This window comes from Homo sapiens, chromosome 13 (assembly GCF_000001405.40).
Source record: "Homo sapiens chromosome 13, GRCh38.p14 Primary Assembly".
Lineage (NCBI taxonomy): Eukaryota > Metazoa > Chordata > Mammalia > Primates > Hominidae > Homo > Homo sapiens.
Genome location: NC_000013.11, coordinates 32,015,798 through 32,031,736, shown reverse-complemented (window position 1 = coordinate 32,031,736; position 15,939 = coordinate 32,015,798). Strand labels below are relative to the sequence as shown.

Here is a 15,939-nt window from a genome sequence, read left to right as displayed (position 1 = left end):
TGATGCGCCTGTCACAGGTTGTGATGTCAGCGCGGGGTCAGGCGCCCAGAGGCAGCTCTGCGGATCCACCTCCGGCTCCGGCCGGGAGTGCTCATCTAAAGGACACGGCGGAGCAGAGAGAGATGCTCGGCCGCTCCTCCTCCTCCGGGTCCAGGACTTGCTTCTTATTTGCTGGACGCTGATCTCCCTGCAGCCCTCGGAGGCGGCGGCCGCGCTGCTTTCATTTCGGGGCTGTCATCACCAGAAACGCCGGCTGCCGGCCGCCCACCAGCTCGGCTCCAGCCAGGTACGCAACCGAGGAAGACCCCACCTGAACTGGGATCGGCTTTCTTCTGGGAGGGAGGGTTTCTAGGCCGGCCTCCCTGACGCGGTGCAGGCAGCCTCCGGCCCACACGGCCGCCGCGGGGCTAAGGGATGGGCCGGGAGCGCCGCCCCCTGCCCCTGCCCACTGTCTCAACCTGAGCCGCGGCTCAGTCTCCGCCTAGGCTGCGGGAGGAATTTCCCAGCTTCTGCGGATCCTCTCTCTTCAGCAAGGCTTCCCGTGAGCGGCCCGGGTGTGCTCTGGCTGCTGCTTCCCCTTGTGTCTGTCCCTGAAATAAACACAACTGCAGCACGCTGCGGTAAGCAAAGCTGCAGCCTTGCATCTGGTTGCAGCGACGTTTTGAAAAACCCCATCCGTCAGCCTCGTTGCAGTAAAGAGACTCAACAAGAGGACGCTTGTCTGGGCTTTTTCTTCCCTGCCTTCCACACGCATGGTGGTATCTGCATTTTTACTTTTCCCTCCCAGAAATGCAGTCTTTTCAAGGGGCATCGGAGCCCGAACGTGTGCACTCTAAGGGGACAGTACACACTGCTTAGTTGGCTTGTTTTTGTAATGTCACACACTCCACAATGGATCTTATTCTCAAACCTCTCATTTCTAAGACTCACTAAGCCCAGTGAAGCTTATTTTATTTGTATGAAAAGGATAAGAAGCAAAAGCATTAGATTCCTTGCTCTACAATGGCTCTTGATTTCATGAATTCTTGATATCAGGTGTCCTGATTTTGGTTAGCTTTGTTTCACATTATCATTTAGCTTGACCAGGGGATTAAATAAGAGTATTATATTTTAATAATGACAGGTTATGTTGGAAGAGGTGGGATTTGGCCAACTATCTCATAAACCACAGGATCCTTCCCAAGTCCCAGTACATTCATGATTAATGTTGTCTAAAAAACAGAAAAAAGTAATAAACCATGTTAATAAGTATTTAACATAGCAAATGTTGGGCTAACTCCCCAAATCAACACACAAACAGGACTTCCTAGATTAACAGTTCATTTTAAAAATGGAAGGGAAAGACTACAATGTACTTTTATTGTTAGGACAAAGAATTTTTAAAATTCAACACTAAATAAAACTTCTAGAACTATGTTCTGAAAGGCCCTAAGATACTTCATCAATACAATTAGTTTTTCAAACTCATTACACTTACCCAAATGGCAAGCACTCAATCACTCAGATTTCCAACTCCACTTATACACTTTATTCTGATGAAATCTCTCACCAGATTGACTTCTTTTTAATTCATGTGCATACTAGAGTTGCTGAACTGATTTTATCACTTGTACTTTGAATGTATGGATTCTAGGTAAAATAAGACCCAAAGGTTTTACCTTGAAACAATTATTATATCTGAAAATAAATTTCATACCTACGCCCATCTGATGCTTGCCAAGACTCAGATGGCAGTGAATGAACAGGTAGGCTGCACAGTGCCCTGCGATTAACGATGGCATGGGCTCTCAAGGCAGGGCCCCATGTTCGCTCCTGGCACCAGCCCTTACTAGCTTTGAGCCCCAAAGTAAGCTATTAACTTTGCTAAGCCTTCGTTTCCTCATCTGTAAAATGGGGTTGTACCTTCTTCCTATAGTTGTTGGAAACAATAAATAACACTATGTATGAAAGGGGCTCAGCATAGTATCTTGCCCATAGTTAACACTTCATTAAATTTTAGCTACATTGATTTTTTTTTTTTTTTTTTTTTTGAGACAATCTCACTCTGTCGCCTGGGCTGGAATGCAGTGGTGCAATCTTGGCTCACTGCAACCTCTGCCTCCCGGGTTCAAGCGATTCTCCTGCCTCAGCCTTCTGAGTAGCTGGGGTGACAGGCATGCGCCACCATGCCCGGCTAATTTTTGTATTTTTAGTAGAAATAGGGTTTCACAGTGTTGGCTGGGGTGATCTTGAACTCCTGACCTCAGGTGATCCACCTGCCTTGGTCTCCCAAAGTACAGACATGAGCCACTGCGCCTGGCCCATTCATTCTTATTATGAATCCTTAGTGACTCTAGAATAGAACTTTTTTTTAAAAAGCTAAATACTTTTTTTTCTTTACTCTTTATGTGGTTTAAAAGATATATTACTTTTGAACACCAGTGGTAACTATTTGGGGAGAGCAAGTTGGAGACATTTAAAATCAGTTGCAATAAGCAAACATGCTATTGTATATTGTTACTCAAATATATAGAGATTCTCTCTGTTGACTTTATTTTAAAAAATTTTTAACTGGCTTTTTAAAGTTTTCAATACTTAAATACATAAGTTTTCAGTATTTAACTACTATAAACATACTAACTTGCTGAGAATGCCACTCATATATATTTCAAGGGAAACGGTCATAAAAATGTAAATGCTACTTAGAAAATAATGTTTTCAATGCCATCTAGCTTTCACTGTGAAGAGTGAATCAGCATCTAAGAGCCCAGTTTCTGTCTCTTAGAACCTGAAATCTTGTCCAGTGTATGCTTTTTCTTCATTCGAGTACCTTTAAAGAGGACATATATTGTAAAAGAACAGAAAAGGGCTTTTGTTTTGTTGAAAGGCCTGCAAATCAAATAGAATGACACCCGCTGCAAGCTGAGTTGAAACATTTATCCTTTTGTCTTCTCTCTCTCTGGGGGGGCATAAAAAAATTAGTCAGAAGAGGCACCTGGACAGAGGTACTTTAAAATGCAACAGTAAAATCTGAATGTGTTCCTGGCTTGCTAGTGACTTCAGTTATGATTTAAGAGGACCTAAAGCTATCTCAGCTTTCATACCTGTAAAAATGAGGGATCCTTCCTTAAAAATATTAGGAGAACATACAATGAATTGTCAAGCATGGAATTAGGCATAGATGTTGGGGACTGAGTGAAAGATAACAGGAAAAGTGGAAGGCCTTAGAAAATGGTATCAAAGAGTGGGGAAAAAGTCGGAAAGTGGCCTGACACAAGTGATGACACTAAATGACACCATCTACATTTGTTGAATATAAATATTGTAGTTAAAAAAATATATATTTTTATATTTAATACTCACCTCAAACCTATGAAGTAAGTACTATTATTAGTCCCATTTTACAGATGAGAAAATTGAGGCTTAAGGAGGCATAAAATAAGGTCAAACTCATATAGCTAGTAAAATTTAGGTCTATTTTAGACCCTGAGTCACTTGTCATAACTTTGTTATTTATTTATTTTTTTAAAAATCACAAGCAAGGTGAGAATCATGGTTACCAAGTTCTTTAGAGAAAGCTCAGGAAGAGGCTGGGCACAGTGGCTCATGGCTGTAATCCCAGCATTTTAGAAGGCCAAGGCGGGTGGATCACTTGAGGTCAGGAGTTCAGGACCAGCCTGGCCAACATGGCGAAACGCCATCTCTACTAAAAATACAAAAATTGGCTGGGCGTGGTGGCACCCGCCTGTAATCCCAGCTACTTGGGAGGCTGAGGCAGGAGAATCACTTGAACCCAGGAGGCGGAGGTTGCAGTGAGCCTAGATTCTGTCACTGCACTCCAGCCTGGGCAACAGAGCAAGACTCCATCTCAAAAAATAAAAATAAATAAATAAATAAAAGTTCAGGAAAGATGCTAAGGTACTCCCTAACACAGCAGAGGCGCTTCAGGTCCCACTGACTCTCCCAGCCTATTCACTGTCTTCCTGCCTGGCTTTGTCCTGGGTGATGTATTCCCTGGGGACTGTAACCAATTCCAAGAAACCAAGAGAAGAATGCCTTTATTTTTTACATTAATTTGATTCATTATACAGGCAGTGGTCTCTACAAGGATGTCTGACCTAGAGTGGAGATGGGGTGACTGAGGATGGAAATCTAGTCTGAACTCCACTCTCCAATTTGGCAGGTACAGAGGTGGCAGTGGGCTGCTTCTACCCTGGCATGGGTCTGCATCAGCCCAGGACTCAATCCAGAGGAAGGGGTGCCTATTTTTTTTTTTTTATCAAGATACCACATGGGCTGGTGGTAGCTCTGGGTGGTCAATGGGAAGGAGGTGGTCAGAAGGAGTGACCTATTGGTCACCTATGTACCTATGTCCTAGCAAGCCATGTAGCAGAGTGGGATGAGGGTGGTAAAGGATACAGAGACTATATCTCATAATCCATGGCATTTACTCTCCTCCTGTCTTGATCCCAATTATAACCATCTGTCCCGTCTCTCCCTCCAGAAGACCTGTGTCTTACTCAGCTTTGTGTTCCTTACATCTCTGTAGCACACAGTAAGTCCTCATGCAATAAACATATGTTGAGTGAATAAGTGAATGAGCAAGCTTGTCATGTCTGACTGTTATCTGCTGCCTGTGGGAAAAAAATGTATAAGAAATGCAATTTTTTGTTTTAATTCATACTTAGTTTACTCTTTTTTTAAAAGCATTTTGAAAATTTTTTTGAGGCTAAATTGTGTGGCATTCAAAAAAAATGTGGAAACAAAGCCTTGCAAACAGTCTGGATGCATGCCAACATCAAGAGCCATTACCTAATGATTTTAAAGCATCTGATTGAGTTGATTGGGTTACGATTGGAATCCACCCCCTTTTCTTGTAGACGGATACACGTGGGTACACATGTGTAATTACTGTCACAGAGTGACATGTACATTCATGAACAGAATGTGTTAGGCAGAAATGTTTCACTAGCATCCTGAAGAAACAAAGGAAAATCACTAAATGCAAGAAAATAATTGCTTTATCAATTTTTGATCAGCAGTCTCAACTTCCAAAAAAGCATGAACTATATTATATTCCCACTATTATACATTGTATCTTAAGAACAGCTCCAAATCAAATTAAGCATCCCCTGAATTGAGATAGAAAGACAGCAGTTACAATCAATGGTGATGAGTATGGAAAAAGGGTTTTGTTTTTCTTTAAACAGTAGAATAAGAGGCTTTTTAGAGATAACCTAAAGGACAAAGTGTTGAGATAAATAACAAACTTCTCTTTTGACCTATTTTTGATGCATGATTTGGACGGATCTATCCCATCCTAAGAAATATTAGAGAAAAAATATGAAATGATGCCACACAATGTCCATGTGGTAAGCATCAAACACAATAATCATTACCTTAAAAAATCCAACCCACATATATAAATCTTCACAAAAATAGATTCAGCAAGTTTTGAAAAACATTTACTCCATTACTATCCACTGCAAATAATTTTTTTCAATGAATTGAAATACATTTAAATTTTTTGAATGCAACACAACTTCATTATAGCAAAGCTTGTTGTTGTCCAGATTCAAACATAAACAAGAAAAATCATGTCTTCTAAAATTGTTATCATTGAAACATAGCAGCAGAACTCATTTTTTCTTTCCTACTCAGCTCCCCTGCGAAGGGGTTTTATAAGGAACCCAGAGCCAAGACAAAGGAATCAGGAGGAATTCTAGCACAATGGGAAGCCCCTGAAGGGTTTAAGCAGAAGACAATAAAAGACTCCGAGAAGTGGCAGCAGGGAGTGGAGGAAAAAAAGCCTGGAATTTACCCTGCTTTCTGCTCTGCACATGGAATGCCCCCTCCATGTGTCCATTGTCATCCAAGGTGTTTTGACAGGTCTAGAGTGGGGTAAAAGAATGGTATTTATTCAGGCCTAATATTGAGGCTTGGGGCTGGGCTGTATATCAGAGGGCATGCATAGACAAAGCTGAACAAAGGGGCACACCTACTGGGCACCTGCTGGGCACTTCTCTAAAAGTGGCACTGAGACATCATTAGGATGAATTAGAACTAGGGCACCAGTTAACCCGGGCCTGCATGCTAGTGAAAGGAAAATTGCGCCTCTCCCTCAACCCTGCTCCAGACAACTGAATGGTGACTTCAAGAACAAATATTCAGGCTGGGTGCGGTGGCTCACACCTGTAATCCCAACACTTTTGGAGGCTGAGGTGAGTGGATCACCTGAGGTCAGGAGTTCGAGACTAGCCTGGCCAACATGGTGAAACCCTGTTTCTACTAAAGATACAAAAATTAGCTGGGCGTGGTGGTGGGTGCCAGTAATCTCAGCTAGGAGGCTGAGGCAGGAGAATCGCTTGAGCCTGGGAGGCAGAGGTTGTTGAGATGGTGCCATTGCACTTCAGCCTGGACGACAAGAGCATAACTCTGTCTCAAAAAAAAAAAAAAAAAAAAAAGAACAAATATTCAAAGGATATTAATTAGAAGGGGAGTGACATTGTAGACCAGACCATGCTCCATCATATAAAAGCTGTATTGTTGGCAAAGTTGTTGAGCATCTCATGGCCTCATTTTCCTCGTCTGTAAACTAGTGCCTTGTCACACAAATCTGTTATGAGGATTACATGAGTGCCTAGGCAGATGACAACTGTTATGTAGCAAATCTGTAGTGAGAAATGAACCCAGAATATGCAGCACAAAATGCCTCCTTAACTCCATAGTCAGGTTAGAAAAAGAGAAGAGAAGGAAAGAGGAGAGAGAGAACCTGTCATCATAGAGAGATCCCTACCCCCAACCCCCTCTGCTGGCTACCAAGGTAAGGTAGACCTGCCCACAAGGCTGGAAGTTTCGGAAAGGTAAAGAAAGTCTAAACACATGCACATACAAACACTATTACTTAACATTTTAGTAATATTAAGTCATATAACATTTGGTGCCCAGGGTAAACTTCCATTTGATTAGAGGTTCCGGTTAGGTTAGTATCATCTCAAAATTTACCTAATTTAGTCTTCTCATCAACCTCTCAAAGTAGTGTCTGCATATTTGGATATCATTAACCTGTAGTCAAAACCAGGAGATGTTGTGGTTCATACATATTTTGTACACATAAAGATTCGACTTCAATTTCTGCAGAATAAGGTCATAGCACACTTAGTATTTAATGTATTTAAAGACATGTATGCAAAGAGAAAACATGACAGCATTTACCTCATGCCCCTTAGCATGAAAGCATACAACACTAATGATAACTTTATTATCCTATTTTTGAATATCACCAGCAACCTGAGAAATTATTTACGTTCAGATACAAACAGGTCAAATATAAATGGCCACAATAGGAGCCAACTATTAATACATAATTATAAAATATTAAGTCCCTTCTGAAGAAGCAAAAAATGGCATTTGCGGCTGGGCACGGTGGCTCACGCCTGTAATCCCAGCACTTTGGGAGGCCGAGGTGGGTGGATCACCTGAGGTCAGGAGTTCAAGACCAGCCTGACCAACATGGTGAAACCCCATCTCTACTAAAAATACAAAATTTAGCTGGGTGTGGTGGCGGGCACCTGTAATCCCAGCTACTCGGAAGGCTGAGGCGTGAAAATTGCTTGAACCCGGGAGGTGGAGGTTGTGGTAGGCCGAGATCCTGCCACTGCACTCCAGCCTGGGTGACACAGCGAGACTCCATCTCCAAAAAAAAAAAAAAAGGCATTAACTTTGCATATTATTATTTACCAAAAATGCAGATACATAATGCTTAACAGTATAAAAAACAATTATATTTATATCAGTCGTCATCACCCTTTAGATTCGCCATCTACAGGAGAACTAAGAAAATGCTGGTTCTTCCCTGTATGAATGATAATCTAGCAAAACAAAAAAATAGAGCATTCTCATAGTTGTATTAAAGTTATTGGGTGATACTCCTATTATTTGGTGATAAAAATTAAATACCTTTTATGGCTAGAGTGAATATTCCCACCAATGTTACCAATCTGATACACAAAAATAAATAGTAGGGTTTAAGTAATAAGGGAAAGATCAACTTTTCCTTAAGATACCATTTAATGTACATAATTATTAAAACCTATAATTTTCAAATCAATGAAATTGAGGAAAACTAGAAATTTTGGATAGTTTTTTAGCGCATGCTACTTAAATTTTACGTTTTTTTCCTTCTAGGTGCTAAAATTTTTTCTTTCTAGGTATGACCATGTTTATAGTTACCTATTAGCAAAGGTTGAAGGGCTGGGAATCAGGAAACTCATGATTCTGCTTTTTATTTTGATCCCGATCCTATAACCTTGGACATGTTATTTATCTACTAAAAGAAGAACACTATTTCCCATCCCCAAACTGCCTCATCTCTTAGGGCAAGCCAATCTTTGGTTTTCTATACCACTGGGAGGAACCATTGCATAGGAAAAGCAGAACACTGGGTAATAAATTATTCTGTGTAACTCTTTGGCAAACATTATTTAATTTTTTGGCAACAGATTCACCTTCTTGGTTATGTTCTAATAAAGCTCATGTCAAGAGTATCCATGAAAACACACACTGTCTACTGGCAGGAGAAGCTGACATAGGACCAAAAAATAATTGGGGATTAGAAAGCGATAAATCAATATAAAAACGATCAAGCTGTCTACTGTGAAATTAATGAAGTAGTATCAAAGTGCTTTGTTCAGCTTAGAGGAAAAGCAATAGAAACTATATAACTAGACAATTCTTGTAAACCAGGAATAAACAATAGTCACACGCCAGGTTATTACAACTGAGATTAAGGACAGTGGTCTAAGGAATTAAGGATATGTTACAGCATCACTTCATTTGGAACTACCACTTTAAAAAGAAGTGTATACCTCACTGAGCATCACAGATTTCACCTTCAAAGACTTCAAAATGACCATCTGTTCATGGAGCTGTCTGGTACAGACCCCAGGTTTCTGCCTTTTAGAAGATGGTGGTCTAAGCCCGACAACAGTGGAGCAGAAAAACCCATACATCACCTTTCCTCCCACAGACGATGTTTAACCGTACAGTAGTAGAAAATGTGACTCTGAAGGAGCAAGTATATTTTAGAGGACAGAGAAAGTCTTACAAGGCGTGTTTTTAGAAAGGGTGGGAAATCACCACCCTCCTTTGACCAGACAGGCAGGGCTTTGTGTAGGAGGGTGGGGCTGTCAGAAACTGTCTGAATGATGGAAGGCAGCAGCTTAGCAGGCTAGTGGGAAGAGCGACTCCAACTGCACGGCTCAGCTTAGGAGGCAGAAGTGAGGTCAAGAGTAATGATCTTTGCAGACCGTCCACAGGGGTGAGATCACTCTGAGAAGCCCAAGGAAACAGAAGTGGAGGGTCATGATTCTGACCCTCAGTGTTAGCTGTGGAGAAACTCAAGCTCATGGTCAGATAAACCCTGCTCCACCCAGTAATGGCCTCAGTGATCCACTTATGTGTTTGACCTATTTCTTTCTCATTTATAAGGTACACATGATTCTGCCCTTTACATAAGGTTGTTTCATGATCTTAAAGGAGATTATGTAGATGAAAGGGCTTTGTATTCCCAGGATGCTAATGTTAGATTCTCAGGGCTCCCATCAGTGTAAGAATCAGACAAATAAGAGGGTGAGTGGTCCCTGCTCAGCCCATCGCCCTTAAAGACACATGCTGGCACCTTCCCTCATTGTAATAGCCTGCTGGACTTTTAGTTTTGGGTTTAGGGACATGCCAGGGGTGTCCTGCTGTTTAAGTGGCCATTCATCAACTCCAGGAATGTGCTGGTGGTTTGCCTGAGTCTTATCCAAATGCCACTCTGGCCTTTGGATAAATACAGGATGGGTGGCAACTGTGGTCAAATTACTACTCCACCCTACCACAAGCCTTATTTTCCACCTTCTTTGCTCCTCAAGGGAGTTTCCCCTTTTTCTTATCCTTTAAAATTATTTTTAAATATTTATTTGTCTATGAATTCTTATATCCTTACCTTGGTATATGATTTTCCCATATATAATTTATATTTTGTGTTCATTACAACAAGGGGTAGCAGAAGCATAAGGGAAGGGACATGGACATGGGCCTTCACCAGACTTCTGGATGAAAGATGAGATGACTAGACAATTCCAATAGTGAGAAATGTATTAGGAAAAAGGCTGAATACAGAATAAGCACAGCAATATGCTCTCCTTTGGCTTTATATCTACACTTCCAGAGGAGGAAACTGAAATTTATCAGGGTAGGTCCCGCAGCAGAGTAATGACAGTAACAGTAACAGTGATTACTACTGGTCCTGTGATAACAACAAGATTGGAACTCCGATCTGGTGCTAAGCCAGTGATGTCCAACAGAAATGCAATGCGAACCACACACGCAGTGTTCAATTTTTAAGTAGCTACATTAAAATAACCAACAAGCAGGTGAAATTAATTTTAATAATCTGTTTTGTTTAACCCAATATGCCAAAAATCATTTCAATAATTAATGAATATAAAAAATATTAGTGAGACATTTAATATTTTTTGTACCAAATAGTTGGAATCCAGTGGGTATTTGACAGCACATCTGCATTTGGACTAGCCACATCCATCTTGCAGCCATTGTACACAATATTGTACACAATAGCTACAAGTGGCTAATGGCTCCCTTATTGGACAGTGTAGTCTAGCATGTTCCTAAGTATTTTTGTGCCATGAGCCCTTTTGGCAGTCTGGCGAAGCCCATGAGTTCCTTCTCAGAATAATGTGTTTACATGAATAAAATGTGGAAGACACAGGGTGACAAAGAAAGCAATTATTTTGAAACATAGTTATTCAACTATTTAAAAAAACACAAAATTGTGGTATCGTATATACCTGCTTCTTCAAATGGTGCTTTAAATAACATTATCCAGAGGCGTAATAATTATAAGAAATTTTAAATAAAAGAATGATCATAAATAATATTTCAATATGCCTAAAGCAACTGTAGTGATGATGAAAATATCTGTGACTTCAACTGATAGCAAATTAACTTTGAGTTGTGGAGTTAATTTGGTGGGTCAAACCAAGACACTTTCCTAATGACATAGAATAGGAGGGAATACATTAGAGGGCATCATTCACAGTCAGGTTGAGTACTGTTTCATGAAACCTCTGTTATATTTGTATGTATACATACACACGGTTAAATACTGGGTTGCAATGTAAAATGTACTTTATATTGCGAGTCATGGTTTTAAAAAGTTTGAAATCTTCATACTCTGCTAGTGAGAATGCAAAACGGTTTAACTACTATGGAAAGAATCTGATGGTTCCTCAAAGAGTTAAACATAGAATTAGCATACGACCCTGTAATTTCACTGTGTACACATGCCCCAAAGAAATGAAAACAAGTTATCAAACAAGTATATGTACATGCATGTTCATAGCAGCACTATGCGTAATAGCTCAAAGTCTTCAATGTCTATCAATGGATCAATGAATAAACGAAAGGTGGCATATATATGTAATGGAATATTATTAATCCGTAAAAAGGAATGAAGTTTGGGAACATGCTACAACATGGATGAACCCCCAAAATGTTATGCTAATTGAAGAAGGCTGGATACAAAAAGGTCACATATGGTATGATTCTATTTATAAGAAATATCCAGAATAGGTAAATCCATAGAGACAGAATGCAGATCAGCTGTTGCCAGGGGCTACGGGGAGTGAAGAACTGGGAGAATCTGCTTAATGGTGAAGGGGTTTTTACTTTGGAGTGATGGAAATGTGCTGGAACTAGATAGAAGTGGTGGTTGTGTAACACCACGAATGTACAAAATGTCACAGAAGAGTCACCTTAAAATGGTTAATTATATGTTGTTTCACTGCAATAAATTATTCTTATTTTTTAAGTTTGAACGCCTTTGTTCTAGAGGGTCTTTCCATTTGTAGTGTACTCATTTGTGGTGCTGCTACATCCCCACCTAGTGGTAGAGGCACCTTCTGTCTGGACTCCAGGACTCAAGATGCCTGACTGCTAGGAGACCACTTTCATATCACAGCGTGAGTTCAAGATCTGAGGTAACACCTAGGCCCATGCCTAACTGGGATGAATATTTCGTGTCTAGACATTGACAATGATAACCGTCAGTCACCCTGAGCTTCAGGCAGGAAACAAGGACAGTTTTAGTCCTGGCCCTGATATATTTCTCAAGTTATGGAATCTTTCTGGGATTGACTTATCTGTCTATGAAATCAAAACAATACTCCCTACCACAAGGTTATGGTAAAGGTTAATATAAGGTAGCATAAGAAATGCATCCAATACCAGTAGATGCTCATAAAATGTTAGTTCTGTTCCTCATCCTTCCTGATTTCTAAAGATACTTGGTATGAACTTAGGAACCTCCAACAATATGCATCCAAGGGGGCTCCCCCAACTTCTGACTGTCACTGGAAGAAAGAAAAAGACTCTGGGTGTCCAGAAAAAAAGTGGCAGGGACCTGGAGTGATTATGAAAAGGAGAAGACAGAGTACAAGCAGAGAACCCAGGACAGAAACTCAATATGATACAAAGTCAAGCGACAAAACAGCAGCAGGGACCTGGTGAGCACCAGGTATATAGAGGGGAGGGAAGAGAGAGGTAAAGGGTCCAGCAGACATTCTCGTTATTGCCACGAATGCTACCTGAAAGTGACAGAGACAGACAGACAGACACAGACACACACACACACACACACACACACACACACACACACAGAGAGAGAGAGAGAGAGAATACCAAGAAATACAGAGAGAGAGAGAAAGAGAGAATACCAAGAAATACATAAGGCAAAAATATTTGGATATTTTTGCAAGTGGGCTTGCATGAAAGATTCCAACTTTACAACATGTTCCATAAAATGAAATGGAAGGCTCTAAACTGTGAGACGTGGTTGCAAAAAAAAAAAACCAGAAAAGACGGACACCAAATCATGAGTTTTTCAAATGATGAAGCCAAAGGGAATAAGCAACTCAAAGGGTAAACATGGGAGGAAACAAATCACGAAACTAATTTGAAATCAAATAGCGTAAAATTACCAGAGCAGAAAGCACTTGCTCCCACGTCAGAATATTCAGGATTTGTAGGAAATTCTATAACGTGGTACAATTTGACTTTGGAAAAACACGGGAACAAAATCAAAACAACATTCTTACACCCTTCTAAGAACACTGGCAGGGTCAACGGGGAGGTGGTGAGTGGAAAACCCCACAGGCAGGTCAGGGAAGCAGACCTCCCCACCAGGCCTTCCTGGGCCCAGCAAGCATCCCTCACTGCAACAGTCATTTCTGCCCTGTGCACTCCACAGCCTTCCTGCTTCCCTCCTCCCATCTCGTTCTCAGGGACGACCCTGCCTCCTACATGGCACCGGATAGGAAGTCCCATTTTTCTGCCATCAAATCCACAAAGCCACCTTTGTCCCCTCTCCTGACCCTGTTTCTGCCTCCTGCCCAAGATTGTCACTCCTATGGGTCTCTGGCATCTTAACCTTTCCCTTTCTATAAAATCTTTCTTGCCTTTATGAAAACATAGCCAATACCTCTTGTCTTACAAGCAAACAGAAACAAAACAAAAACCCTTATCTTATCCCACATTTCCTTCCAATTCTGATATGGTTTGGATTTGTGTCCCCAGCAAATCTCACGTTGAATTGTAATCCCCGTTGTTGAAGGTGGAGCCTGGTGGGAGGTGATTGGATCATGGGGTAGATATCTCATGAAAGGCTTAGCATCATCTCTCTTGGTACTGTCCTCATGATGGTGAGTTCTCATGAGATCTGGTGGTTTAAAAGTGTGCAACACCTACCCCCTCACTCTCTCTTGCTCCTGCCATGTTAAGGTGCCTGCTCCCCTTTTCCTTCTGGCATGATTGGAAGCTTCCTGAGAGGTCCCCAAAAGCAGAAGCCACTATGCTTCCTGTATAGCCCACAGAACCATGAGTCAAACTTCTTTTCTCTATAAATTACCCAGTCTCAGATATTTCTTTACAGCAATGAGAGAATAGACTAATACAAATTCCTAGCCTACCTTCCTGACTTCCCAATCATCGCTTAATGTCTCAACACAGCTGCCTTTATACGCAGCCTTCAGTTCCTCTTTCCACTCCTCTTCCCCCTTCAGCCCACTTCAGGCTGACTCCTTGGCCACACTTCCACTAAGGTGACCAACAGCTTCCACTTAGCCAGTGGGCTCTTCTCAGCCCTTAACTGAAACGGCATCTCCGTAGCGTTTGATATAGCTCCACACCCTTCTTCTTGCAACTCTCTTTTTCTTGCTTCCGTGACCTTACACTTTCCTGGTTTTCCAGGTGTGGCATTGTTGGTTCCTGCCTAACTCTTCAGTCTCATCTTGCACCTTCCCTGCTACCCAGGACTCCTGCACCTCAGGGCTCAGCATTGCTGTTCCACCTGCCTAGAGGCCCTCCTCTCTTCCCTTGGCTAAATTCTATTTGCCCTTCATCCATCTAAGTATTGCTTCCTCAGAGAAGCTTTCCCTTAACTCCGTGGTCTAAATCTGGAGCCACAGTTGACATTTCTTATTGACACAAATACTTTATCACAAATTATGCATTTATTGTGCAGCTAGTTTTCAATATGCTTTCTCCCTGTTTGGACTATCAATTTCACTAGGTACATTCTATGTTTATTTTGGTCACCATCTTACTCCTATGTTCTAGGACACAAGGGGGACACAATAAACACAGCACATGTTATGCGGGGCAGGGCATTCCTTGCTGCTCTTGTTCACTCAGGTTGGGAGAAATCAGCTTGACAGATTCAGCGGCAACCAGCAGCAGACAGCTCTTTCCTCATGTTTAGTTATTTCGCTTTTACTTCGCACAGCCAAGTTTCTTAGAAACTTCTCTGTCTCTCCCTCCTAATCCCCTTCATTCCAACTTACTGCCATTCCAGCACATTGGGAATGAGTGTGTCATAACTACCAATGCCTAAGCCCTATGGAACTTTCCAGTCCTCACCCTACTTGGCCTCTTGACAGCATTTGGCATTACTGGTCAAGTCTTCTTTTTTGAGACGTTCACTTTACTTGGCTACTGTGACATATGTCTCCTCTGTCCTCCTACCTCTGTGACTATTTGGTCTCTTTGCATTAGGGGCTCCTTCTCTATCCCTTCCTGCAATGGCAAGAATAACTCAGAACTCCATATTCAGCCCCTTTCCTTCTTATATATAAATATTGCCTAGGATGAATCATCTGAACCCACAGCTTCACCTATTGTCTGACGTTTCCCAAATTACTTTTACACCTCAGACCTCTCCATGGAAGTTCACATCCATATGTTACCTCTTCACATCTTACTGTCCACCTCAATCCGGATACTCCTCAGGTACCTGAAATTCAACATGGCTTCATCTGAGCTAACCACTTTCCTTCCCCAGTTCTTACTTTCTCCTTTATTGCCTGAATGACATCATCATTTTCTAAGTCACTCAAGTTAGAAATTCAAGACTTTTCTTCCTTCTCATCTCCCAGATTCAAAGACTCAGCAAGCCCTGTTGAATCTACCTCTTAAAAATTGCTTGTATCTGTTTTCTCATCCTCTTTCCTACCATCATTCTATTACTTAAGGTATTTGTAATACTTCACTTGGATCAATGCAATAGCCTTCCTATTGGCTCAGTCCTCATGACTCCTGCCAGATTGTTACAACATTTCTCAATCCCTTTTGAGATAAAGCCCAACCCTTGGTTGCCATACAAGACCCCTTTCCACCTCTCTAACTTCATGCAACCCTGTGCTTCAGCTATAGGGAACTGTCTGCAAGTCTGCCAAAACACCAGGCTGTGAACTACTGTTAGGTCCTGCACTATACATTCTGCTTTTCCTTCCTCTTAATTCCAGCTCTAACCCTTACCCATTCTTCTGAGAAGCTCTGACTGACTTCCCCAGGCAAAGTGAAATACCCTTGCTTTGGGCCACAGTAGTACTTGTTACCTGA

The 15,939-nt window shown here is 41.4% G+C and overlaps 1 long non-coding RNA gene across 1 annotated transcript, besides 1 other annotated feature; it reads left to right on the top strand.

The window, feature by feature from the left end:
* The first annotated feature begins 97 nt into the window (after positions 1-97).
* FRY-AS1 (FRY antisense RNA 1) lies at positions 98-7,691 on the top strand. Its single transcript, NR_103839.1, has 4 exons — positions 98-286; positions 4,071-4,162; positions 4,484-4,534; positions 5,641-7,691. It is a non-coding gene; the product is annotated as an FRY antisense RNA 1 (long non-coding RNA).
* Positions 11,847-11,946: a silencer, noted in NCBI's record as "silent region_5244". NCBI's record gives its function as "represses an Ori minimal core promoter by ATAC-STARR-seq in GM12878 lymphoblastoid cells {active_cell/tissue: GM12878}" and the evidence as "EXISTENCE:reporter gene assay evidence [ECO:0000049][PMID:35858748]".